The sequence below is a fragment of the Homo sapiens genome, chromosome 9 (genome assembly GCF_000001405.40).
Source record: "Homo sapiens chromosome 9, GRCh38.p14 Primary Assembly".
In the NCBI taxonomy this organism is placed as follows: Eukaryota; Metazoa; Chordata; class Mammalia; order Primates; family Hominidae; genus Homo; species Homo sapiens.
Window position 1 is genome coordinate 134638704 of NC_000009.12, and position 25129 is coordinate 134663832.

At 56.5% G+C, this 25129-nt stretch overlaps 1 protein-coding gene and 2 long non-coding RNA genes across 5 annotated transcripts in view, besides 7 other annotated features; 2 read left to right on the top strand and 1 right to left on the bottom strand.

Moving 5' to 3' along the window:
• COL5A1 (collagen type V alpha 1 chain) overlaps positions 3100 to 25129 on the top strand; it is a 203041-nt gene continuing 181011 nt past the window's right edge. For 2 of the 3 annotated variants that reach the window (NM_000093.5, XM_017014266.3), the window contains exon 1: positions 3100 to 3593. In NM_000093.5, the coding sequence (NP_000084.3) occupies positions 3485 to 3593 (109 nt within the window). In that variant the 5' untranslated portion in view covers positions 3100 to 3484. The remainder of the gene's footprint in view (positions 3594 to 25129) is intronic. The other variant, NM_001278074.1, reaches the window with a different exon arrangement.
• Positions 4079 to 4785: an enhancer, noted in NCBI's record as "H3K4me1 hESC enhancer chr9:137534628-137535334 (GRCh37/hg19 assembly coordinates)". NCBI's record gives its function as "activates a minimal SCP1, AML or CMV promoter by ChIP-STARR-seq in naive H9 embryonic stem cells {active_cell/tissue: H9 hESC(naive)}" and the evidence as "EXISTENCE:reporter gene assay evidence [ECO:0000049][PMID:30033119]".
• Positions 6041 to 6625: an enhancer, noted in NCBI's record as "H3K27ac-H3K4me1 hESC enhancer chr9:137536590-137537174 (GRCh37/hg19 assembly coordinates)". NCBI's record gives its function as "activates a minimal SCP1, AML or CMV promoter by ChIP-STARR-seq in naive H9 embryonic stem cells {active_cell/tissue: H9 hESC(naive)}" and the evidence as "EXISTENCE:reporter gene assay evidence [ECO:0000049][PMID:30033119]".
• Positions 8608 to 9407: an enhancer, noted in NCBI's record as "H3K27ac-H3K4me1 hESC enhancer chr9:137539157-137539956 (GRCh37/hg19 assembly coordinates)". NCBI's record gives its function as "activates a minimal SCP1, AML or CMV promoter by ChIP-STARR-seq in primed H9 embryonic stem cells {active_cell/tissue: H9 hESC(primed)}" and the evidence as "EXISTENCE:reporter gene assay evidence [ECO:0000049][PMID:30033119]".
• LOC124902300 (uncharacterized) lies at positions 9351 to 11503 on the top strand. Its single transcript, XR_007061842.1, has 2 exons — positions 9351 to 9561; positions 9688 to 11503. It is a non-coding gene; the product is annotated as an uncharacterized LOC124902300 (long non-coding RNA).
• Positions 10132 to 10631: an enhancer, noted in NCBI's record as "H3K4me1 hESC enhancer chr9:137540681-137541180 (GRCh37/hg19 assembly coordinates)". NCBI's record gives its function as "activates a minimal SCP1, AML or CMV promoter by ChIP-STARR-seq in naive H9 embryonic stem cells {active_cell/tissue: H9 hESC(naive)}" and the evidence as "EXISTENCE:reporter gene assay evidence [ECO:0000049][PMID:30033119]".
• COL5A1-AS1 (COL5A1 antisense RNA 1) lies at positions 10682 to 14140 on the bottom strand. The gene is made up of 2 exons (NR_138049.1): positions 14005 to 14140; positions 10682 to 10881 (listed from the first exon to the last, which is right to left on the bottom strand). It is a non-coding gene; the product is annotated as a COL5A1 antisense RNA 1 (long non-coding RNA).
• Positions 16092 to 16956: an enhancer, noted in NCBI's record as "H3K4me1 hESC enhancer chr9:137546641-137547505 (GRCh37/hg19 assembly coordinates)". NCBI's record gives its function as "activates a minimal SCP1, AML or CMV promoter by ChIP-STARR-seq in primed H9 embryonic stem cells {active_cell/tissue: H9 hESC(primed)}" and the evidence as "EXISTENCE:reporter gene assay evidence [ECO:0000049][PMID:30033119]".
• Positions 16957 to 17820: an enhancer, noted in NCBI's record as "H3K4me1 hESC enhancer chr9:137547506-137548369 (GRCh37/hg19 assembly coordinates)". NCBI's record gives its function as "activates a minimal SCP1, AML or CMV promoter by ChIP-STARR-seq in primed H9 embryonic stem cells {active_cell/tissue: H9 hESC(primed)}" and the evidence as "EXISTENCE:reporter gene assay evidence [ECO:0000049][PMID:30033119]".
• Positions 18877 to 19684: an enhancer, noted in NCBI's record as "H3K4me1 hESC enhancer chr9:137549426-137550233 (GRCh37/hg19 assembly coordinates)". NCBI's record gives its function as "activates a minimal SCP1, AML or CMV promoter by ChIP-STARR-seq in primed H9 embryonic stem cells {active_cell/tissue: H9 hESC(primed)}" and the evidence as "EXISTENCE:reporter gene assay evidence [ECO:0000049][PMID:30033119]".

Here is a 25129-nt window from a genome sequence, read left to right on the forward strand (position 1 = left end):
CGTGACTCTGGGAGGCTGGTGTGACCCCTCAGGACTGGTGGTGAACCATCAGGTCCACATGAGAGCAACACCTGATGGTTGCCATGGCCGCTCTGTCCGGACCACAGCTCTGCCGCTCGAAAAATAAATGAGAGGAAACACAGCCTTGGAAGGAGAAGTTGGGCCATCGGACTCCACGTGTAAGGTGCAGGGCACCTGGCCTGCTCCACTCTCTGCTAGGCACTGTGGGAAACACGCAGTGATGGGTGGTGGCGCTCCCGGTGGCCCAGGAGTACACAGGGTACAGGACCTGGTTAGCCTTCTGCGGTGAGTGCCATGAACAGGAGCAGGCAGCCGGGGAGGGCTAGATGGGAAACGATGGATAGCAGAAGACAAGGAAGACACACATGCAAAAAAGGGGCCACCTCTGCATGGGCGTGGGAGTCACTGCTGCATTGCAGGTCAATGTGGAAGGGACCCAGGCACCTTGCTCACCACATACTCCCTAAAGCCTAGAGCGGTGTTGGCAAGGAGTATGCGCGCAATAAGCAGTTTTCCAAGGACTCTGGTTTTGCTCAGTTGTGGGAGGGCATGGAACATGGTGAGTTTGGGACAATCTGCACCAGTTGCTGTTGTCTGAATCTGGGCAGGGTGGTCCTGGCGGCAGGCGTGTGGTCCGGATGCCATGGGGAGGCAGGCAGTGCACACTGGGCTCCAAGCATGGAGACCTGGGTCCAAATCCGGACCCTGTCACGGATGAACTGGGTAAGTCCCCTACCCTCTGTGGCCCCTGATTTCCTCATCTGTGGATGGGAGAGATGCCAGTATTCCCTACCGGTGCATGAGAACTGATGCACGTGTGGGTGAAGAGTGTGAGGCAAAAGCCTTAAGATGTGGCTGATATTCTTAGCTTGGCAACACAGTTCGAATCCTGATTGGTACTGCCGGGCCATTCTGCCATAGTCCCTGGCTGACACATCAGGCCGCCAAGTTTGGGGACTTCTCTCTGAGTTTCCTGGTGGGATAGAAACTCATCTCTCCACCCAACTCAAGGCTCAGATGAGGGTGGAAACTCACATTTGACAGCTTTCCAAGCCACCGCACCACTTGCTCTCCAAGAGAGGATAAAGTGCATCTGTCATGGCTGCTTGAGCTGCAAGACTGAGCCATCTTACCATTGCTGAGAAGTCAACTTTTGGGGGACCTTGGGGTGGTCACTTGAGTGTCAGCTCTTAAGGCGCCAGTTGTGTTAATTCAGGGCAAAGTTTAGATGCTGGCTGTGAGTTACAGGAGGGCTTGCTGACTGGCACGGATGTGCACATGGGACTGTCAGAAAGGAACTCCACTTGTGCTTGGGGAAAAAGAAGCTGGAACCAGAAAGCCTCCACTCTCTTCTGATAACCAGGCCATGGCCTGTGTCAGCACCCCTAGTCTTCAGGGGTGAAGCTGGCCTTGCTGGTAGGGGCGGGGGCACTCCAAGGACCAAGCACAGCTGGGGCTGGCGCGGAGTCTGGGGTTTGATGGAATTTCTCACTCATTGAAGTCCACAGGGAAAGTAAAGGGCCAGTGGCTGCAGGTTAACCAACGCACAGACACGCACACAGGCACACACACAAACACACACATGCACACAACTCACACACATTTTTGCCTGATCACATATGCCTTATACAAGTTGTAAAACAAAATAAAATCAACAAGGAAACAGGTCAGAACTAACATTTGCTTTACTGAATGTATCTCAAGCACCTCCCCACGTCTGTGTGTGAAGAGCTTCTCATTCTTTTCCTGCGAAATATTTGATATCTATGCAAGCGCATGTGGCAGATATGGAGACTAAAAGCCTCATCACCAAGTTAGCAACAGCGACCTATCACCCAGCTCCGGAGCCTGCCATGGCTATCCTGGCAAACCTAACCTCGGACGCCTCTCTCACCTCCTGTTTCCAGAATGGTGAGAATTAAAGAGCATTTGGGGAATTTCACGCCCAGTCTGGAGATGTAACTGGAGAGGGGAGTCCCAGCCCTGTCTGGCATCTCTGGCTAAATTGTTTGTTCAAAGGGAATGGGGATGGCCCAGGGTTTGCAAATCGTTCTTAATTCATTCTGATTCCCTCCTTTTAAAAAACTAGCCCTGCAGCCCTTGGGGAAGGGGTGTGGGTCAGGCTTCAGGAGGCTGTGCAGGGAGGCCAGGCCTGGGGAAGCTGGAGGGAGAGACGCCCACCTACCACCCAGAGACTGGCGGGCCTCCTGCTGGAGGAGACCCCGAGGGGCTTAAAGAAGCCAGGCAGGAGAATCAGGGCCCCAGCTCTTCTCCGAGAGCAGCCGATCAGGAATGCCTTCTCCCTGCGCCAGCTGTCACTCCCAAGGGGATGCCTTCTTTGGTTTCCTTTTTATTGCAGAGGGGCCACCAGGGAGTGGGCAGGAGTGAGGGGTGAGAGCCTGGGGGCCGCAGAGCCAAACTTCGCCTGATTAATAACCCAGATGTTCCCGTCCAAGCACATGGAGGTCCCGGGAGCTCTTGGGAAGTCAGACCCCAGCTCGGTCCCGTGCCAATCTGCAGTTAGGAGGCAGGTCCTCGGTCCGGGTTGACACGTAGGCCACAGTCTTGGGCGCCCTGATCTGGCTGGATGGGAAGTTTAGTCTCCACCCAGAAGAGGAGCTCTGAACTCCTCCACGTTAAAGAAAAAGTTAGGCGGGGTAAACTGCAACTTTCTTTTTAACCCGAAGTGATCAAACCTCGGGGCCCCTCTGCACTGGTTCTTGGAGCATGGCCAGGTGCGGGCACCTGGGGTGGGAACAGTGGGGGGACCAGGGTGGGCCCCTGGGCTCCGAGGCCGCCCCAGGCCCGCCCGCCTACCGGCTCTCAGAGAAAGAACAGGGGGCCGCGCCCGCCCCACGTCCGCTCCGCCCCGGGCCAGCCCCTTCCTCGCTGCGACTCGCCCGCTGTCCCCACCCCCTCGCCCGCGGCGCCCAGTGGGAGGCGGGGGCTGGCCTCGCCGAGCCCAGCGCCGGGCTCTGATTTGCTGCGGGCGTTGGGGATCGACAGCCTCCGCGGCTGCCTTCCAGGAGAGAGGGAGGGAGGAAAAGGGGGAAAAAAGTGCTCCGCGCCGAAGGCGAGGTCCGCACTCTCCGTCCCCGCGGCTGGCGCAGGACCTCACTCGAGCGGAGCGCCCACGGGGAGCGGGTCGCGGGGCGGCGGCGGCGAGGAGGAGGCGAGAAGGAGTTGGAGGAGGAGGAGGAGGAGGCGAGGGCGAGCTAGCCCAGCGGGGTCCCGGCCGCCCCGCGGGCCAAAGTCGAGCCCTCCCGCCCGTGGGCGAGCGCGCCAGCCGCCCCTTCCAGAACAGCCGCCGCCACAAAGAAGAACGGGGGGTGCCGAGGTCCCCATGACCTCCTAAAGTGGTGCGGTCCCTGCTGAGTGCGCTGCCCGGGCCGTGACCCGCGCCCCTGTGCGTCCCCGCGCGCCTCCGAGCGCCCCTGTGCGCCCCGGCCCGCGCCCCGCCGGCATGGACGTCCATACCCGCTGGAAAGCGCGCAGCGCGCTCCGCCCGGGCGCCCCGCTGCTGCCCCCGCTGCTGCTGCTGCTGCTGTGGGCGCCGCCTCCGAGCCGCGCAGGTAAGGGCGCCCCGGGGCGCGGGGCTGCGGGATGGGGCGCGCGCAGCCCGGGCGCCGCTGTCATCCCCGGGCGCCTTCGCCCGCAGAACTTTTCTTCCTTGGCCTGTGGAATGCACGGGCCAAGACCACGAATGCCATTTGCTGGGGGCCCCCCCGAGATGACGACACGCAGACACAATGCCCGCGGGCGCGCCGCCGCCCCCTCCCCAGACGGGCGGGTCGGGTGGGGCTGTCGCGCGAGCCGAGGAAGGACCGAGGGCTGGATCAGCAGGAGGGGTTGTCCACGAGGCGGGCAAACTTTTGTCCCAAAAACCTTCCTTCTCTGTCCCACATCACAGGCGCCCAGCTTGGGCCCTCACAGCCCTACAGCAGAACTTCCTCTGCTCCAAACCGGGCAGGGCCGCCCCCTAGAGTTACAGCCCTTCAAATCCCGGGACTCCTGGGGATGGGGGGAATCCCAGAAGCCTGGGCCCCCAGCACTGAACTTCCCCCAGGCACTGTCACTCTAGGCTGAGCTGGCGCCCTGCTTTCCCCAGGGACAGCGTTTCCTGCAGCCTTGGTCACCTAAGTGTTCGGGGGCACTGGGGACCCCTGCAGGGTGGTAGACAGCCCTGCTCCTAATCCCACCCCCAAACTTCTTGATCCCTGGAAGGCAGCTTTTCCTGGATTCGCTGCTGAGAGATGGGATGCGTGGAGCAAAGCCAGAGATGGGCTTGCAGGCGGGGCTGTGAGTGGTTGGGATGATATGCAGATGTGGGATTCCTTCTGCCAAGGGTCAGCCCTTAGAAGGAGGCTTGCTTCCCGGGGAGGGCGCTTCAAGGCGGGGACTGTCTGCGTCCCTGCCTGGGTTCTCGAGGGTTCAACTCTCCCTGGCGCAGCTTCCTGACGGGGGAGTTTTTCTAGGCATCGCTCTTGGTAGTTAGTGGCGGGGTGGGTTTTCACAGACTCTCGAACATCAGAGCCCCCAGCCCTGGAAGGTCCCCCGAATCCTTATTGACAGGCGGGGAGATGGAGGCTCAGAGCTGTGTGCTGCCAGGTCAGGAGAAGTGGCGGGCAGAGCGATGGGACGGTGGGCTCAGCGAACGTCTGGACCAGCCCGCCGCCTGCCAGCAAGAATGCTTCTCTCTGCTTCACGATTGGAAGACAAGTGGGAAGAATCATTGTCCGTGTTCCGCTTGTCAATTAAAACACTCTTTTCCTTTTTCCCTGGCACGATCAGTGCTTGTTGGGCTAACTGGATGAGCTGGAGTCTGGGTGTGGGGGCTGCCCTGGGGCTCTGGGGGAGGAGCCAGGAGCCTGGCCTGGCTCCCAGGACCTGGGATCTCATCCCTGGGCCGCCACCAACTCTCTCCTGACCCTGGGCTAACTGGGCTTGTGTTTCTCCAGGGGTTAGCTGAAGGTGGGGGACAACAGAGGTCCCCAGAAAAGTGGAGAGGAGAAGGAAGGTGTGGTCAGGGACTGTGCCATTGCCGGGGGACTAGGCCCTGTCTCAGCGCCTCTGGGGACTTTTCCCCAGAAACTCAGGAGGGAGTCCTTCAGGGGAATCGTCACCCTAGACAGCTGGGGCAGGGCACTGCCTGGGGACCATGCACCGGACTGGGCTTGGGGTTCCATTTCCCTCCCTGCCCATCTCCCCACCTCCACACTGTCTTTTTCCCTCTCTGGTTGCCCTCGCTAATCGAAGTGCGGCTCGTTGGAAGTGGGAGTGAGGATGGCCCAGAGCAGCAGGCTATGGAGTTGGACATTTTGCTTTTGTCAGAACAGACTTTTAGAAGCATGTGGAGAGACCACTTTTCTTAGTGAGTTTTGCCAACGTCTCTCCACCTCCCAGGGTGGGACCTATTTGGAAGTCATCCTTCGAGCATGGCCAGAGGGGGCGGCTGTCCACTGGAGATGCAGGCGCTGGGGGGAGGGGGCGGCTGTCCACTGGAGATGCAGGCGTGGCGGGGAGGGGGCGGCTGTCCACTGGAGATGCAGGCGCTGGGGGGAGGGGGCGGCTGTCCACTGGAGATGCAGGCACTGGGGGAAGGGGGCGGCTGTCCACTGGAGATGCAGGCGCTGGGGGGAGGGGGCGGCTGTCCACTGGAGATGCAGGCGCTGGGGGGAGGGGGCGGCTGTCCACTGGAGATGCAGGCGCTGGGGGGAGGGGGCGGCTGTCCACTGGAGATGCAGGCGTGGCGGGGAGGGGGCGGCTGTCCACTGGAGATGCAGGCGCTGGGGGGAGGGGGCGGCTGTCCACTGGAAATGCAGGCGTGGCGGGGAGGGGGCGGCTGTCCACTGGAGAGGCAGGCGCGGGGGGGAGCCACCAGCAAGTGCCTGCTGTCTTCTCCATCTTCGGATCTGCCAGATGTTTTCTGAGGGTTTTCTGAACACAGTTCTTTTGCCTGCTTTCTTTTGGCCAAGTGTGTGAAGGAATGAAAAGTAAGATTGCATTTGGGGCTGCTGAACAGTGTAACGGGGAAGGAGAGTATGGGAAATGAAACATGACCCCAATATTTGGAAATTGAGGTCATCTCCTCTACACGCCATTGGTTGACTCCAGTCACGTGATTGCTTTTTGCAATAATTTGTGGGGAGAGTCGGCCAAGTTTTGTGAGACTTGACAGGTATCAAATGGTTAAATTTCCTCTGACTCAATCAAGTTGGCTGGAAAGACATCCTTTTCCATCCTCTGCCCCCTCCCTCCCTCTCCCCATAAAAGAGCAGTGAGTGGGAGGAGCTCAGAAGCCCCAAGAATTCCCCAAGCCCTCTCCCTGCTGTGGTCCAGATTTGCCGGAGGGGTTGGAGTTTTGGTTGCTACCCAGGGCTGTGCCCACCCAGCAGTGCGGCAGCCCCAGGCAGGGGCGTGCTCCCAGTGCCAGGCTCACAGTGGTTTCTCCAGTGATGTTACTCCTGGGCTGCTCCTGCGGGGCTGGCCAGAGCCTGCTCTTCACCCCGCCCTGCAGATATTTCTGGACTCCCCACCGCCACGCCTCAGCCGAACACAGCTGGTGCTGCCCGTCCCGCCCTGCCTTCTCGCTGCCTGGCCTGTCTGCCTGCCCTGCCTCCTCCCTGGACCGCCCCATCCCACCTCCTGGGAGATAGACCTTGATAGGTGGAGTAGGGGCTGTGCAGAGCAGTGAGCTGCCCCGCTGGAGGGCGAGGATGAGTCCCCAACACTTCCCGAGGGCACCCACATAGGAGCCTGAGCCAAGCTGCATCTGGAACAGTGCAGGACCTGTCCCTGCTCGGTCACGTGACGTGGCTCTGGGAATGGCCTTGGGAGACAATCACACATGGGAATGGAGGGGCTGGCACTTGCCTGGCCTGTGGTGAGCATCAGCTGCACCATCTCACTGCACCCTCACCCGGGCCTGAGAAGGGACAGAGCCTAGGAGTCAGGGGGCAGGGATGCCAGGCAGATGTCTTCCATTCCTGCTGTGGGGCCCTAAGCCAGCAACGGCCCTTCGCCTGGCATGGTCACTCTTTGACTTGTCACAGTTCCCTCTTCTCACTTCCCATCGGTTTATCAGCTCTCCCCGGGGAGAAGGCCAGGGCCCTGAGCTATAGTCCTGGCCTGGGGGCCCAGTCCAAACAGGGTCCTGGGAGCAGAGCCATTCCATTTGGCCAACACAGCTTTTAAGTTCCTTTCTTTCTCCTTCCCCCTCCATCCTTCCCTCCTTCCTTCTTTCCTCCCTCTCTTCCTCCCTCCCTCTCTCCCATCCCCTTCCTTCCTTCCCTTTGTCCCTCCATCCCTTCTCTTTTTACTCCAGTGCCTTCAAGAGGGATGCAGCAGCCACAGTCTCCACCACTTCCCAGGCCTCTCTGCACATCAGCATAACCTGCCTGGACCCTGAAGGCTTTTGCCTTTTCACCTGGGTCGGGCCTATCTTGGGGAGACCGAGGCAAATGGGATGGGACCCCTCGTTTCCTTCCAGGAGCTCACAGTCTGACAGGCAGACCATTGTGAATTTTACTCAGGGCCCTCCATGGGATGTGCTGGGTCTTGCATCCGACAGTCTGGGAGGGTTAATTGCACTGGGGAGAGCTGGGGAGCTTCCTGGAGGAGGTGATGTGAAACTGGCCTTCCCTCCTTCTCTTCTCCTTCCTTTTATTGCAGAAATGACCCTCCTTCGTGGGGTCCTCCTCCACCTCTGGCTTTAATCTTGCTCTCTTCCCTCCTTCTGACAGGACATTCCACACCGTGTCCCAGAGCTCTCCTGGGCGGCTCCCTTGGCTGGAAAGCCCCTCATTCACGGGCTTGGCAGGTGCTCCCAGTATCTGTTTGCCAGGAGAATACAAGTGCCCCTAAGGGAAGTGGCAGATCCTGGCAGCTTCCTTAACCCTTTCTCTGCCCCCGTTCCTCCTGTTTCCCTTTGACGAGCCCTGCTGGCCTGGCACAGTGAGCCCAGTCTGCACAGCTCTGCAGACAGCTCCACAGCTGTGGATTAGGATGTGGGGGCCTCTGGGGGTGATTTTGGGTACCTGTGCTGGGTGACAGGTGGTCGGATGTGGGAGGGGACATTCCTTGGCAATCAGATTACTGAACTCCAGGCCAGCAAGGTCGGTGTGAGGCTGGAGCTGAGTTTCCCTGCCTCTGAGGGGCTGTCGGATGGGCTGGGCGAGGACAAGTCACTGCACCTCAGCTTCCCCTCGTGAACATGGGGAGAACCACATTTCTTGCTTTGAGGCATGGTTGTGAAGATCGATTGAGGCCACACCTGTGAGAAGCTTTGCAGGCTGCCTGACCTGTACTCGGCACTGGCTGTGTGGGGACGTTACCATCGCCCCCATCTTCAGTGGTGGTTTTGCAGGAGGAAAGAGCAGTGTTCCCACAGCCCTCTTTAGCTCCCAGAAGCACAGGCGAGGGAGGTGTGCCTGTGTGGGGCCTGGCCCTGCTGAGACCCCTGGGGCTCTGCTGTTGCCCGCTTAGCCGGTCTCTGCTGCCCCTTTGCCTTCCTTGGCCTCGGTTCTTTGCTTTCCCACGGAACCTCATGGGGTCATTGTCCAGGCCGTGGGGTGTGATGCATGTGAAAAGCTTTAGAAGCCAATTCCAGGGTTTGCACTCATGTGTGCGTTTGTGTGTATGTGTGTCATGTGTGCGTGTGTGTGTGTGTGTGTCAGGCCGTGTGCACGTGTGGACAATGTGTATATCTCCCCGCGATCTGCCTGCACACATGTGTTTGTGGGTATACATGTGTGTTTGAGTGTGCACGCATGCGCATCCTTGCACATGTACCTGCGTTCACATGGGTGTCCCTGGCTGACTCCACGTGCAGGGCCTGGTGTGTTTGAGGAGCTCGTGGCAGGGCGACGTTTCTCTCCTTACCGTGACCCGGCCCCAGCTGGACGGGAGAGGAGGAGATGGCACGTGGAACCTGCCGGTTGAGCGTGAGGCTGTGGGTTCTGCCGCAGGGCAAGCCGGGTCCAGCTGGATCCGACAATTTCATGTCTTTTTAAACTCCCGGGAGGGCGATGTTACATTATGGCTCCCGCTTCTCCTCTATTTACATTCTCCCATATAATTGACTCGTCTGCTCTCTCTCAGTGCTTTGCCAAGTGTCGGTTTTAAAGTTTCTGGCCTGGCTGGTGGATGTGCCTCGATCCTGCAGGCGGAGCCCACAGCGGCCCTTGTGGTGGTTACTACTGAGTGTCAATTTGATTGGATTGAAGGATACAAGTATTAATCCTGCGTGTGTCTATGAGAGTGTTGCCAAAGGAGATTAACATTTGAATCAGTGGGCTGGGGAAGGCAGACCCACCGTTAATCGGGAGGGCACAATCTAATCAGCCGCTAGCAGGTGTAGAGCAGGCAGAAAAACATGAAGAGACGAGACTGGCCCAGCCTCCCAGCCTACATCTTTCTCCTGTGCTGGACGCTTCCTGCCCTCGAACATCGGACTCCAAGTTCTTCAGGTTTGGGACTCGGACTTGCTCTCCTTGCTGCTCAGCTTGCAGACAGCCTATTGTGGTGGGACCTTGTGATTGTGTAAGTCAGTACTTAATAAACTCCTATATATATATATATAATATATATATATATATTTCTATTATTTCTATTCCTATTAGTTCTGTCCCTCTAAGGGAACCCTGACTAATACAGCTCTGCTCATAGGCAGGACTGCAGGACTGCAGCCACCAGGACATGGCATAGGGACCAGGGTGGCCTGCTGGCAAAGGACAGGCAGCCGGCAAGACTCCTGGATTCCTATCCTGGCTCCAGTGTCTACCAGCAGTGCATTTTCCCACCCTGTGCCTCACTTTCCCCATCTGTAAGAAGGGGGTGGTGACTGTAACTACAGTAGGGTTTTAGTGATGTCTAATGTATTACTCATATAAAGCACAGAGTAAGACCCCATTACTGCCCTTGCCACCAGGGGCCCCAGTGCAGCAGGAGGCTGTGAGGTGGTTTGGGGCCCTCTACTCGCTGGCCTGTGCGTGCTCCCTTGCCATCCTGTGTGGTGTCACACTGCTGCTTCCCTCACTGGGTACGCAGGAGAAAAGGTAAGGCAGTAAGCACCAGTGGTCAGTTCAGCGGATCGCTCGCTGCTCGCTGCCTCTGAGGCTCTGAGCCTGAGCCAGGAAGGTGCATCCTTGGGCAGTCGCGGGCCAGGCCAAGTTCAGCCCGCAGAGTGGCCCTCCCCTGCCTCCTCTGGCCACTTGCTCTTTACAAGGAACGGAGGTCCAGGAGGTGGATGGACCTGTGCACCTCCCAGCTGCAGGCCTCTGTTCTGTCTCTGTGATGTGATGGCGGTGAGTGGTGGCTGATCACTGAAAGGAGGTGTTCCAGGCAGGGGTGGGTGAAGTTGGTGCGGGCGGGGTGTGGGGGGGGCTTTGCCATCTCAGATGTTGTTTTTGTGCCAGCCCAGCCCCAGGCCACTGGAGAGAAGACCGTGGAATGAATGAATTGGTGGCTGGATGCTCAGTGGAGGGGTGCGGGTCACTTTGAGTTATCCATGTCAGATAGTCCGAGCCGTCACACCCTCAGCTTCCTATCAGCAGAGGAGTTTTTCTGGAGGAATCTCAAACTAGGTAATAACCTCATATTAGCAGTAAATGTCACCATCCTTTGATGACTCAGACCTAAGAAATGGAACCACAGCCTGACCCACTTTTCTCAAAATTTAATTACTCAGAGCTCTGGGGACATGGGCTCAGCCTATTTGCCGAGATGTCTCTGCCCATGAAATGGAAGCTTCCTTTATTTTCTGTTTCCTAGACCCGTGTTCTTGTAGGGAAATTAGCTCTTCTGTCCTTTTCTTCCTTGCCAGGACCTCGGCAATAGGGTTTCTGGTGGCCTCTTTTTTTTCTGTAAATAAATGCCACAAAATGACATAAAAACAGTGTGGTGATTCCTCAAGGATCTAGAACCAGAAATACCATTTGACCTGGTGATCCCATTACTGGGTATATACCCAAAGGATTATAAATCATCCTACTATAAAGAGAAATGCACACGTATGTTTATTGCGGCACTGTTCACAATAGCAAAGACTTGCAACCAACCCAAATGCCCATCAATGATAGATTGGATAAAGAAAATATGGCACATATACATCATGGAATACTATGCAGCCATAAAAAAAGGATAGTTCATGTCCTTTGCAGGGACATGGATGAAGCTGGAAATCATCATTCTCAGCAAACTAACACAAGAACAGAAAACCACAAACACCACATGTTCTCACTCATAAGTGGGAGTTGAACAATGAGAACACACGGACACAGGGAGGGGAACATCATGCACCAGGGCCTGTTGGGGGGTGGGGGGCTAGGGGAGGGAGAGCATTAGGAGAAATACCTAATGTAGATGACAGGTTAATGGGTGCAGCAAACCACCATGGCATGTGTATACCTGTGTAACAAACCTGTGCGTTCTGTACATGTATCCCAGAACTTAAAGTATAATAAAAAAAATTTTTTTAAATGTGTGTATGTAGCAGGAGTGACTTAAGTTGAAAAACTCTGACCCTTGCATTGGGAAACAGTGATCTCCCAGTGAGAACACATGAGCATCGTAACCGTCTTCCATTGGAAGCGACCGTCTTCCATTCTGCTGGCGGGTGGCCTGGGGGACCAGCACTCTTTCCCGTGTGTGGGTACAGAGGGAACAGATGGGGTCCATATGCAAAGACATTGGGTGTGTCAGCAGGTTTGCTTGGCAGCATTTATGGACCCCTAACATGAGACGGACCTGTGCGGGGGGCACAGGTGAGCGATAGGCGAGCCGTCTGTGCCCTACTGGGTCTTCCGCTGCGGCGGGGGAGTCAGCCATCTGAACAGGTGGTTTTACCCAGTGAGGTGCAGTAGAAGTGGGAGTAGGGTGTGGCCAAGGCCAGTCTAGGGAGGCACCTGCCAGCCCCATGGGGCGGTGGCCAGTCAGAGACCAGCCTGCTTCTCCAGGGCCAGCCCTTTGGGATGCATGCGCCTGAAGGCAGGCTCCCATTGGTGGATGCAGAGGGCACGTTCCCGTGCATGTTCTTCCTCTGGCTCTTGTTCATATTTTCATATTTACACTGGACCCTGCTCTGAGGGTGCTCCCGTCAGCACCTGTGATCCTCAAACCCGCCCTTCGTGCCAGGTGGGATCGGCCCATTCTGCAGATGTGCCAGTCTAGCTCCTTGAGTCCAGCTGGCACAAGGGGATGAAAACCACCCTCCACGTCCCAGTGGTCACACGGCCTGCATGTTGGTGCAGGTCCGTACAGTCACATGCATGGACGCAAGCAGCCTCTGTCCATTCTCAAGGCCAGGTGAGGGCGGCGTGGCTCCGCTCCCTCCTGTTTGTTTGCTGGCGCCAGCCTCCATGGCAGCTGGGTCCCAGTGCTTCAGAAGGGGAGCCATGGCCCCAGGCAACAGTGCGTACCTGAAGCCTCTGCCTCGGTTTCTTCTTCTTCCTTTCAGATGCATAAAAATGCACATCAAGCCTGGGCACCATCTGGTGGCCTCTTTATTTTTTAAATAAATGCCATAAAATGACATAAAAACAGTGTGGCGATTCCTCCAGGATCTAGAACCAGAAACACCATTTGACCCAACAATACCATTACTGGGCACCACCTCTACAGAAATTTCAGAAACAATTAGCCAGGTGTGGTGGTTCGTGCTTGTGGTCCCAGCTACTTGAGAGGCTGAGGTGGGAGGATCACTTGAGCCAGGGAGGCTGAGGCTGCAGTGAGCTGTGTTTGTGCCACTGCACTGTAGCCTGGGTGACAGAGTGAGACCCTGTCTAAAAAAAAATGAAAATAAAAATAAAAATGTACACCAGAGAGCACGGTGGTCTCAGCTTTTCCAGCTGTAGTTTCGTCTTTCTTCTGGAGGACAGAGGCCCAGCCATCTGCATCCTCAGCACACAATTAGGTCAGTCACTGGGGCCTGTTGTGGGGGTGACAGGCAAGCCTGGGTGTGGGGAGAGCCGGCCCGTTGCCCATGGGCTCTGCACAGTGGGTGGGTGCAGGTGCGATGACAGGCGCGGGACAGAGGGGCCCCTGGGGGGACTTTTCTCGGGTCCTCTGCCTTCCCACCACTGTGTCCATCAGGGACATTCCCAGGATCTGTCTTTGCTGCTGGTTGTCTTCCCTTGATTTTTTGTTTTGTTTTCTTTCTTTGGGGATGATCTGAAATCCTCTTCCTGTGCTATTTCTCTGCTCTTCCCCTGGGGAAAGGAGAGTGAGGAGAAAGTGTCCCGTGTCCACGTTCCTGTGGACGTTCCCCTTCCTTCTTTCTAAGGAGGGATGGTGACTCCCAGAGGTATTAAGGAAAGGAGAAAGTGACACTGACTCTTCTCAGAGCCTTTGGCTACAGAGTGTTCCCGCGGTCGAGGTGGGGTGAAGGGCGTTCTCGAGGGAAGGGTAGGGAACGATTTCTGACTGCGATTGTAAGAGCTTTCTAGGTAATTATTATTCATGCTATTTAGGGTCATAGGTCTCAGTAATGGTCGACTAGGTCAAAAAGTACTGCTTGAGCAGTGGAGATACTCAGCTGAAGGTTGAGAACACACAGGGCGTCCTTGGGCCGGTGTGGCGGTAACAGTGAGCTGGTGACAGCAGGCAGACCCAGTGTAACACGGCTCTGCTGGGTGGGGCAAGGAGATGCCCCAGGTGGAGCCATCGGGAGAGGGAGAGGGGGTGGGAGGGCAGGGGAGCGACTGTCCTGCCAGGGATGCCAGTGTCATCCTCCTGCCCCTGAAACAGGTGGACATCATGGCTTCTCAGCCCAGGCCATTTGGGGACATGTGGCAATGTCTGGAGATGTTTTCTGATTGTCGCACCTGGGGTGGGGGCAGGGCTATCGGCCTGTAGTTGGGGGAGTCCGAGGATGCTGCTCTGCACCCCACAGTGCACGGGACAGCCCCCACCAAAAAGACTGACCCAGCCCGGAGGCTGCAGGAATCGTGGGATAGAGGAAGCAAAGGTGAGATTCCGTGGCCTCACCCCATGGTCTTCTCATGGCTCATTGTCAGACAGGAGGGAGGGCCTCTTCTTAGGCCGGGTCCAGCGTTTCTCCTCATGGTGTAGACCAGCAGTTCCCAAACTTTACCAGGCCCCAGAATCCCCCCGAGGCCTCTCTTAAGGCACAGATTGTTTCTGACTCAGGAGGCCTTGGGTGGGCCCAGGAAACTGCATTTCTAACGAAGTCAGTTCCCAGACCACGCGGATGCTGGAGCGTCTGGGGGTGCCACACTTTGCAAACCACGAGTCGTTCTGCGTCCTCGAGCCCAGGGTCTTGGATTTCAGCATTAATGGTGGTCGTGGGGTGGGGAGGGCACCTGCCAGGGGAGAAGCGCTGGAGAGAAGAGAGGAGGGTGTGGCTGTTCCTCCACCCATCTCAGGAACCTCCCGCTTTCTTTATGGTGGTCCCCGCTTCACAAAGCACCCATGGTGCTGTTCCCCTGCACACCTGGCAGCGGCACTCACTCATCTCCAAAGCAAAGACCCCACTATCCGGCAGGTCTTAGGGAGCAGGGAGACCCTGGGGGTGGGGGTGAGCTTCCAGAGAAGGGGTTTCCCATGGGTTTGGCCATGAGATTCTGCTGTTGTTGATGTTCTTATTATGGGAAGGCTCAGACACAGCGCAGCAAAGGTCGTGTTCTGCCTGGGGCCACAGGGACCAGCCCACAGCCAACCCCGTTCCAGCCAGAGGCCAGCCCACGCCCCCGCACCCGGTGATTTTGAAGCCAGTCCCTGACATCAGCTGCGTTCTTCGGTAACTATTTCGGTCTCCGAAAGAGGAGGACCCCTACTCCAAACTCACCTCAGCTTGCTGGCCGTGTGCCGTCTGTGCGTCTCCCAAGGGCGCCCCCCTCACCCAGACCTCCCCTCCATCCGTACTGTGCTCGGTCCACAGGACCAGGCTCTGCAGAGCCAGGGATCTGTAGGACTGCAGGTTTATAGGGCTGGGGATCTGTAGGGCCAGGGTTCTATAGGGATGGTGGTCTGCAGGGCTGGGGGTCTTTCAGGCAGGGGGCTATAGGGCTGGGGACTCTGCAGGGCTGGGGGTGTCTGCAGGGTCAGGGGTCTCTCAAGCTGGGGATCTGTAGGGCTGGGGGTGTGCAGGGCCGGGTGTCTGTAGGGCTGGGAGTCTGTAGGGCCAGGCATCTGTAGGGCTGGTGTCTGTATGGCTGAGGGTGTGTAGGGCTGGGGGTGTGTAGGGCTGGTGTATGTAGGGCTGGAGGTGTGTAGGGCTGAGGGTGTGTAGGGCTGGAAGTGTATAGGGCTGGTGTGTGTAGGGCTGGAGGTGTGTAGGGCTGGAGTTGTGTAGAGCTGGTGTGTGTAGGGCTGGAGGTGTGCAGGGCTGGGTGTGTGTAGGGCTGGGGGTGTGTAGGACTGGGAGTGTGTAGGGCTTAGGGTGTGTAGTGCTGGGGGTGTGTAGGGCTGGGGGTATGTAGGGCTGGAGGTGTATAGGGCTGGAGGTGTGTAGGGCTGGAGGTTTGTAGAGCTGGTGTGTGTAGGGCTGGAGGTGTGTAGGGCTGGGGGTGTTTTGGGCTGTAGGTGTGTAGGGCTGGAGGTGTGTAGAGCTGGTGTGTATAGGGCTGGAGGAGTGTAGGGCTGGGGTGTGTGTAGGGCTGGGGGTGTGTAGGGCTGGGAGTGTGTAGGGCTGGGGTGTATAGTGCTGAGAGTGTGTAGGGCTGGTGTGTGTAGGGCTGGAGGTGTGTAGGGCTGGAGGTGTGTAGGGCTGGTGTGTGTAGGGCTGGAGGTGTGTAGGGCTGGAGTTGTGTAGAGCTGGTGTGTGTAGGGCTGGAGGTGTGCAGGGCTGGGTGTGTGTAGGGCTGGGTGTGTGTAGGGCTGGGTGTGTGTAGGGCTGGGGGTGTGTAGGGCTGGGAGTGTGTAGGGCTGAGGGTGTGTAGGGCTGGGGGTGTGTAGGGCTGGAGGTGTGTAGGGCTGGTGTGTGTAGGGCTGTAGGTGTGTAGAGCTGGTGTGTGTAGGGCTGTAGGTGTGTAGGGCTGTAGATGTGTAGGGCTGGGGTGTGTGTAGGGCTGGTGTGTGTAGGGCTTGTGGTGTCTAGGGCTGGGGTGTGTAGACCTCGTGTGTGTTTAGGGCGGGGTTTGTAGTGCTGGTGGTGTGTGGGGCTCGTGTGTGTAGGGCTGGAAGTGTCTAGGGCTGGGGGTGTGTAGGGCTGGGGGTGTGTAGGGCTGGTGTTTGTAGGGCTGGGGGTGTGTAGGGCTGGGGGTGTGTAGAGCTGGGGGAGGGTAGGGCTGGTGTGTGTAGGGCTGGAGGTGTGTAGGGCTGGGGGTGTGTAGAGCTGGTGTGTGTAGGGCTGGGGGTGTGTAGGGCTGGTGTGTGTAGGGCTGGAGGTGTGTAGGGCTAGGGGTGTGTAGGGCTGGTGTGTGTAGGGCTGGGGGTGTGTAGGGCTGGTGTGTGTAGGGCTGGAGGTGTGTAGGGCTGGTGTGTGTATAAGGCAGGGGTTTGTAGGGCTGGGGTTGTGTTGGGCCGGGCGTCTGTAGGGCTGGTTTATCCGAATGCACTGGGTGGCCTTGGGCTTTAGGGCCTGCACTTTTCTGTTTTGTGCATCGATGTGGGAGGCAGGGTGAGTCCCCACCCGAGGGAGGCGGAGGTGGAGCTCAGAGAAGCACAGAGCCCCGGGAGGCCCCCAGCCGGGAGGGTGGAGGGCGGCTGTGTCCCATACCTTTAGCCTCTCAGCTGGGCTGTGCAGCGTCCTCATGAGCCTGAGCTCAGTGCTGCTAAGGCAGTTCGTAGCACCTTCCTGTGCCTCAGTTTCCCCATCTGTCAAGTGGGCATGAGAATAATACCTGTCTCACAGGCATGCTGAGAGGACTCAGGATTCACATGTGTAAACTGCTAGGACCACCACAGCTGGCTATGGTCATTACTATTACTGTGTGTCCCAGGCATGCCATTGGTTCAGAGGTCACAGGTGGCCCCCATGAGGTGACTTGCAGGAGTCTGCTGAGCCCATGGAATTGAGCTGGGCTTGTGAAAGTGCCACAGGAGACAGGAATGTGTGACCAGGCTGGACTCAGCCCGAAGGCTGTGGGTGAGGACCCAGAGGGTGCCATGGGTGCTGTGCCCACCAGGCTGTCCTATGGCACGTGGGCTTGTCAGAGCCTCTGGCACCTGCAGCAGGGCTCCCCTGTCCTGCCCTCCTTGAATGTCCTGGCACAGAGGGCTGGTACCAAGACAGCAGCTGCACTGCCATTTTGCAGAGGGTTGGAGTTCTCTGGGTCTGTAACCCTGGCCCGGAGTTGCCTGGTGTTTTCTGGGATTGACTGGAAGCAAAGGAGGGTGGGCAGGTCCAGCTTCCTGCAGGGTGGGGCTTTGCAGGGCTCACCACCGGATGCCAGAGGATGCCGGAGCTTGGAGCCTGGGACCCTCACAGTGGACAGGTGCAGGAGCCCCGGGGCCCCACCTTGCAGCTTCAGATTGAGGGTCTGAGGTGGAGCCTGGGGCCTGCGGCTCCTCGTCCTGCCCGCCCAGTGCAGCGGCAGTGACCAGTTGAGGGTACTTTGGGAAACTCTGAGCAGAGGAGGGTGGGGGCCTGTGCCTCCCTCCAGCCCTCTGTCCTTCTGCAGAGCCTGTCCCTATCACCAGCTCACAGTCACCTCTTGGACTTTTGCAAAGAGAGCTCAGGGGATGAGGAGGGAAGCAGTGATTCTCAGGGACACCGGGAGCTTCGGAGGCCGAGAGAGCAGGTTTGAACTCCTGGCTGTGGGATCTCCAACATGTTACTTAACCTCTCTGATCTGAGGCAGCTTATCTGCATATCAGAGGCAATAGCACCACCTACCTGGACTGGCAGCTGTGAGGATCTAAGGAAGCAATACTGGTGTGGATGCAAAGCCCTAGGTGTGCCCGGTGTGCAGGACATCGTCCCGTGCAGTGCAAGCACCAGGTGCACTCGTGGTATTGATAACGATGCCTGCTGCTTTTATTGGGATGGTCGCAGATGGTATCATATAATTCTTATTAGAGATGGCTGTTATTTTACATGGCTGTTAATACGGAGGTTGGGAGGCAGTAATTGTAACTTTTATAAAGTGTGAAAGAAGGACTAAAGCTGCTGTTTGCAGCTTCAGGCCCAGCCAGGGACCTCAGAGGATGCTAAATGGTTGGCACAAAAGGGCCAGAGGTTCCAATTGGCAGGGCAAGGGGTGTACATTATAGATAATATGGGGGACGGGGCAGGGGGTGCACTTTATAGATAATATGGGGGGGTGAGACAGGGGGTGCAGTTTATAGATAATATGGGGGACGGGGCAGGGGGTGCACTTTATAGATAATATGGGGGGGTGAGACAGGGGGTGCAGTTTATAGATAATATGGGGGGTGGGGCAGGGGGTGTAGTTAATAGATAATATGGGGGTCAGGGCGGGGGTGCAGTTTATAGATAATATGGGGGCAGGGTAGGGGGTGTAGTTTATAGATAATATGGGGGTTGGGGCAGGGGGTGCAGTTTATAGATAATATGGGGGCAGGGTAGGGGGTGTAGTTTATAGATAATATAGGGGTCGGGGCAGGGGGTGCAATTTATAGATAATACAGGGGTGGGGTAGAGGGGTGCAGTTTATAGATAATATGGGGGTGGGGTGTAGGTGTAGTTTATAGATAATATGGGGGCTGGGGTAGGGGGTGAAGTTTATAGATAATATGGGGGTGGGGTGGGGGTGTAGTTTATAGATAATATGGGGGTGGGGTGGGGGTGTAGTTTATAGATAATATGGGGGTGGGGTGTAGGTGTAGTTTATAGATAATATGGGGGTGGGGTGGGAGTGTAGTTTATAGATAATATGGGGGTGGGGTGGGGGTGTAGTTTATAGATAATATGGGGGTGGTGTAGGGGGTGTAGTTTATAGATAATATGGAGGGTGGGTTGGGGGTGTAGTTTATAGATAATATGGGGGGTGGGGTAGGGGGTGCAGTTTATAGATAATATGGGGGGTGAGGGCTGTGGAACCTTCCTCTGTATTCAGTTCCCAGGAGCTTCTCCAGATGAGTTTCCTTTGCCCGGGGGTGCCAGGCCTGACGGGGAAGGGCAGGGGGTGGGACAGGACCTGCCTGGACTCCTGGAGAGGACTCTGATGTCTTCTGGGGAGGGGGCACAGAGTCAGTGGCCTGGCTTATGGCCTGGGGGCCGTTTGGCAGATGAATAAGCTCAGACTTAGAAGGTGTGGGTTCCTGGTGTCACAGGCTGGTGAGGAGTGGGGAGACCAGGCCTGGGAGTCCTGGCCTGTCGGGTGGGCTTCACTGACGAGGGATGGGCCGGGCACGGAGATGCTGCTGGCTATGGCGGACTGCACTCGGAGTCCTGTCGCTGGGGAAAGCAACCCTGCCCGTCTCTTGCCACCGTCAGGGGACGGTGTTCAAAACTGGGTCTTTTCTCAGCCTCAGTGGGCTGGAGGGGTCCCAGGCTTTCTAATGCAGGGGCTTTCTGCCCAGGGCAGGCTCTGAGGACCAATGTTCACCCTACAACCGTGGTGGTGGGCAGCTCGCCCCTCTGTGAGCAGGCAGCACCCACGCTGGGAGGTTCTGGACCCCGGCCTCCGCAGCCCATAGGTTTCACCATTACCCTGAAAATCTCCTTGCTCACCAGTGATAAAGGAAAGCAGCTCCGAAGTGCAGACACCCGCTCCCTCTTTCTTTCCTTTTCTGGCTGCCCGGGTCTCCAGTTCTGCTGGGACAGCCCTGGGAGGGGCAGCCCAAGCCAAGCCTGCATGTGCCCCCGCCCCTGCACGTCCCCCCGCCCCTGCTGGGCCTGTCCTTGCACGCCCTGGGCCCCTTCACATGCATACGCTCCCACCTCCCCTTCCTGCAGCTAGGGCCTGGCCGATTACAAACAGCTGCCTAGCCCTCAAGCAGGATTTGCAGGCCCCGGAGAGGGGCTATAGTCCGAGGGCAGTGTGGGCCTAAAGGCATGTCGGGGGTCTTAATGGAAGCCGACGCCCCTCTTGTACCCTGCCCGGCTTCTGTCCCCTGGAGGGTGGCGGGGGGTGGGGCAGGCACCCTGTGGTTGTGCGGAGAGCAGCTGGGAGGCTCTGGCTCCAGGCCTGGAGGGGAGGGGCTGCTGGGCTCCAGGTGGGCTCTGGGGTCCTGGCCCTCTTCAAGGTCTCTCCGGAGCCCGGAAACTGAAATGTCAGTTAAGGTAGAAATTCACATGAGACATACGAGGGAGGGGTTCGCTGAGACTTTTCTCTGCAGGTGAAGAGTAGGACTCTCTGGGACTTGTCTTCTTCTGACCTGACCCCAAGTGCCTTCACACTGTGTTTTATCCCGATGGCCTCTGTGTAAGGCAGGAGGTGTCATCCCATTTTACAGGTGAGAAGCAGGCTCAGAGGCCCTGCAGCTAGGAAGTGGCAGAGTTAGGCCTTTAAAATAGCCTTTGAGGCCGGGTGTGGTGGCTCAGGCCTGTAATCCCAGCACTTTGGGAGGCTGAAGCGGGTGGATCACAAGGTCAGGAATTTGAGACTGGCCAATATGGTGAAACCCTGTCTCTACTAAAAATACAAAAAACTTAGCCGGGCGTGATGGTGCATGCCTGTAATCCCAGCTACTTGGGAGGCTGAGGCAGGAGAATTGCTTGAACCTGGGCGGCAGAGGTTGCAGTGAGCCGAGATGGCGCCATTGCACTCTAGCCTGAGCGACAGAGACTCCATCTCAAAACAATAATAATAATCATAATCATAAAAAAGCCTTTGAGTTGTGGGCATTTGATTCTGTCCAGCTGCTTGGGAACATGCCTGATATGAGTCCAGGCCTTCCGAGAGTGCCAAGTAGCCAAGGAAGGTGGGGTTTTGGTCCCTATCTGAAGGACGGTTGCACTTTTTTTCTTTGGGGTCTTCATCCCTGCAGTAGGCACTGAGAGAGAGGAGCAGGAGGAATGTGAAGTCCGGTGACCCCACCAACAACCCTCTGTCCTCCCTGCCCTCCTGCATCACCATGGCCCTGGTGGCGGGTCTCAGGAGGGAGCGGGGCCTTTTGGATCCTGTCACTCAGCAGCCTCTTCCAAAGCCCACAGAGCCGTGGGCTCCACAGGCGCCCCGAGTACCGTCCTCGATGAGATCTGCGGATTAGATCTGGAGCCTGTGCCCAGCTGTGTGTGCACTGTTTGCTTAAGGGGGTGAGCTGCCCTGGTCTGAGTCAGTTTTTCCATTTTAGCGGGAAGGAAAGAGTGATAGGGGAGGATTATCGCCAGGTAGGTGCTGCCTGTTTAGTTTCAGCCGACACACGGCCAAGGAGAAATGGGGCCCAGCAAGCCAGATGCTATAGCAGATAAGGCGCAGGCGGGCCAGGGGTAGAAATGGACCAGATGTTTCAGGAACTGAGCTGGAATAGCATCACAAAACCCCTCCTGGGTCAGGGACCTGGGCCACGATCCACATCTTTAAACCATCAGCATTTCAGAAAAGAAAAATGCAAACTCTGAGAGAAGCAGTGCCCCAGGCCTGATTTCCAAGTCCACCCTTTATCCTATTAGCAGAACGATGTGTTCTATGTGCCATGAGAGTCCTCAGGTTTGCCAAGGACCAGGCTCAAAAGAGTTTTACTCTTGGTTTTCACTTAAAATGGACCATGAGTCCTAAAGAATTGTCAAAGTCCTCTGAAGATTCGCTACCTGGGTAACTCACCTACGCCTACTGTATGCCCCAGACAGATTCTATTAGGAAAAGTTAGGAAGTTTCAATTTATTAGAAACCAGTGGAATAGAGATGCTGCTGCATATGTGGTCTTAGGCATTTCTAGTTTCAGGTCACCTCAGTAGCCAGAATTCACTGTAAACAGTGGTAACCCAAAGCCCTAGTTCATGCTCATGACATCAAAGCCTCAAACTTCAGTGTCTAGCTAGAGACCAGTGGTGGGAGTGGTGCCCCTGGAGGTTAAGGAGGGTATTGCATCCCAGCTCTACTAGACATTGTGAAAACCTAGGCTTGGCCTGGGTTGTACTAGAGTACTCATGGTGCGACCTCAAAACCATAACTTTCTTCTGTGCCTCAGTTTCTTCATGTGTAAAATGGAGCTGATGATGTCTCTCTACCTCATAGATTTGTGGTGAGCATCTAAGGAGGCACAGTTTAGATCTCTATAGAAACAGGCAAGGTCTCTTTGAGTTCTTCTTGCATCTCAGAGTGCCTGCCACTGTGAGGTGCTCAGTGAATGGTCACTGGGTTGAATTGTGAGTGCTTTGTAAACTCAGAGGGTGCTGACCAGCCCAGAGAATTGCTATGTTTTGAAGTAGCTCTCTGAAGTGGGGTGGAGAGCAGATGTTAGAAGCTGTGAACCATGCACCTGGGTTCTTTTAGGGGAGGATGGAAGGTACCAGAAGAGTGATCTCAGCTTACCACACCCACCACTGGCTGGCAGAGGTGGGGTATGCTGGGTTTGCTGACCCCAAAGAGGCTGGGTGGGAGAGGAAGCCGAGAGTTGCCTAGGGTGGCCTGGGGAGTTTGGTTGGGGAAGTGTCGGGGACACTATTCTCGGTGCTGCATCCAGGGAAGCTGCCCATCAGCCTTCCTTGGATTGGGATCTTTGGGATCAGGGATTCACTAATTGTCCCACATCTGACATTAATCTGGGCTCAGCCATGTGTTGCTGAGCTTCACACAGCTGTTTGCACCACCCCAGATCTTTCAAGGGGTCCCCAAGCAGATGACCAGTTTGCAGCAGGGCGTGTGTGTGAGGTACAGGAGCCTCCAGTCCTGTGGGCAGATGCTGACGGATGGGCTGATGGCTCCCAGCACCAACTGCTTTCTGTCGGTGACTTTCACTCCACCCACCAGTCCTGTGAGGTCAGTACGGTTCTCCTGACTCTGTGAGGACGTGCCCAGTTGACTTGGCCAATAGGGAGCAGAGCTGAGACTTGGTGGCTCTCTTAGACGCCAGTGTCCCCTCTGTGCTGCACCCATACCCCCCTCCCCATGCAACCCTGCCCAGCCCACTGCATCTTCCTGAGAGTTTTCCCAGATGTCACCCAGCACCTTCTTAGCTGTAATCTCTCCAGGCCCTTTCAACCTAAATGTCTTTAATTCTGGGATCAATCATCTCACCCTATAAATGACTCCCAGGAGCTCTTCCAGCTGTGCTCCAGAATTCCTTAAGCAGTGCCAACCTCGCTGTTCCTCCGACCGCTTCTTCCCTTTCCAGCCCTTCCCTCCAGCGGCTTCTGTTCTCTAGGATGCTAAGGCGAGTCCCAGGATGGCATTCAACTGGACACGGATGCCAGTGTTGTGAGTGCTCCATGCTGAAAGCCGCCTTCTCTGGGGCGGTTACTCACGCAGAGGCGGGAACCTGACTCTGTGCCTGTCTGTTGGCTTCCGTAATCCAGCCCTCCCTGTGCTGAGTTTAAGCCCAAATGAAATTACTGGGCTCTAAGTATGTGCCTTTCTCCATAAAATGTGATGCCTGGTCAATATCTTGGCCAAAAAAAAAAAAAAAAAAAAATTCCTCTGAAGGAGGGTAGTCTGGTCTCTTTCTAGTCACTTGTGAAAATATTTCCTGATCTGATCTCTGCAGTCGTGTACGCGGCCAGCACATAACTGCCCCCAGGCAGGGCCCTGACTTCCAGGCCGCTCAGGGCAGCTACCCTCCCTGGGATATGTCAAGCTGAGGGCTTCGCACATTCTTCTCTGACAACTCAGCTGGTTTCCAGCCCAGTCCGGCTGCCTCCTTCTTTTCCACTTTGACTTTCCTAACAGCCTGGGAAGCTCTGAAGCCTGTGTTTTCAGGCCTGCCGGTGCCAGTGGAGCTGGCCTAGGCCTCCCCAGCACCCTTCCTGACCCCTACGTAGATGCCCAGTGCTGCCTGCCAAGGACTTTGAATCTCTCCAGTGGGGACATTCCGCGCTCCTTGGGTGATGGGAGGCTGAGGGTAGAAGTGAGGGTTGATTTAAGAGAGCAGCCCAGATGGAAGGGCCTCTGGGGGTTGTTCTCCACCCTCATGCTCTGCAGCCCATATCTCTCCTCTGATCTCTCTCCCGGCCTCAGCTTTCACAGCTCTAGAGTGAGGTGGGGACATGGACGGCTGCCAGCTTGGATGGGGACGGGCTAACTCGCATGAAACCCTCTGGGCTGCAAAGCGATGCTCTGAATCTGTTGTTAATTACATCTTCCTCGGGCCGCAAGTTCTGCACCAGAGTTGGTCACTCTAAACCTGGGGCTGTTAGCTATAGTAGAACCTCATCTGCCTCGTTAGCAGAGACCGATGAGTGTTTGCTGCACAGCTACTGCCTGCTCTGTGAGCCTCCATGTTTGGAAATTTACTAAAAATACTGCCTTTGCATTCAACTCGCCACACATTTCTGTGAGCATGTACGATGTCAAAGGCCCTGTGGGTGGCTTTGCTGAGGGGGTGGTTGAAGAGACCATGTTCTCAAAATGAAGTTCGACGTTTCCTGAACAACTGTTCTCTGCACGTTGCTGTGCTGGGTGCATCCATCGGACGCAGCCCCTATCTGGAAGGAGGGCCGTGTGGGCCAAGAAAGAAGAGAGGATGCCTGGCCTGACCTGGGCTGGCCCTGAGGCTTTGAACACCTGGGCTCCTCATCCTGGAGTCAGTGTGTGGTGGCCGGGGGCCTGTCCCAGAACGTAGCACACTTCTCCTCTCTGCTGTCCCCATACTGTCCTGATAGCCTAAGAGGGTGAAGGGCTGGGGCTGGGGGAGGGAGTGTGGCCCAGGTGTTCAGAGGCCTCGGGAGTCTGCTGGGGAGGTGCAAGGAGGCCGCCCTGGCCAACCTGGCAGGGCTGGGAGGCCATGGGCACTTGAGGGGGGAGGATAAATGTCACTTGAGCATTTTCCTCCTCCTCCAGTTCCTTCTTTAATATCTATTTTTAATGAAAATAATACATTTCATTATAGTCATTTTGGAAAACACCAAAAAGTATAAAGAAGAAAATAAAAATGACTGTAAACCCAGATTCTCCCAAACCCAGATTATGAATACAGAGAAGAAAGTACAGAGGGAAATGCGTTGTGGTGGCGGATGGGGAACGCCTAGACCATCCCTAGGCCTCTGCCCTGAGGACTTGGACTTGGACTTTGTCATGCCACATTAGAGTGCAGGCATTCTCTTTCATTCACGACAGCTGTCAAAAGTCTAATTTAAAGTGTCGCC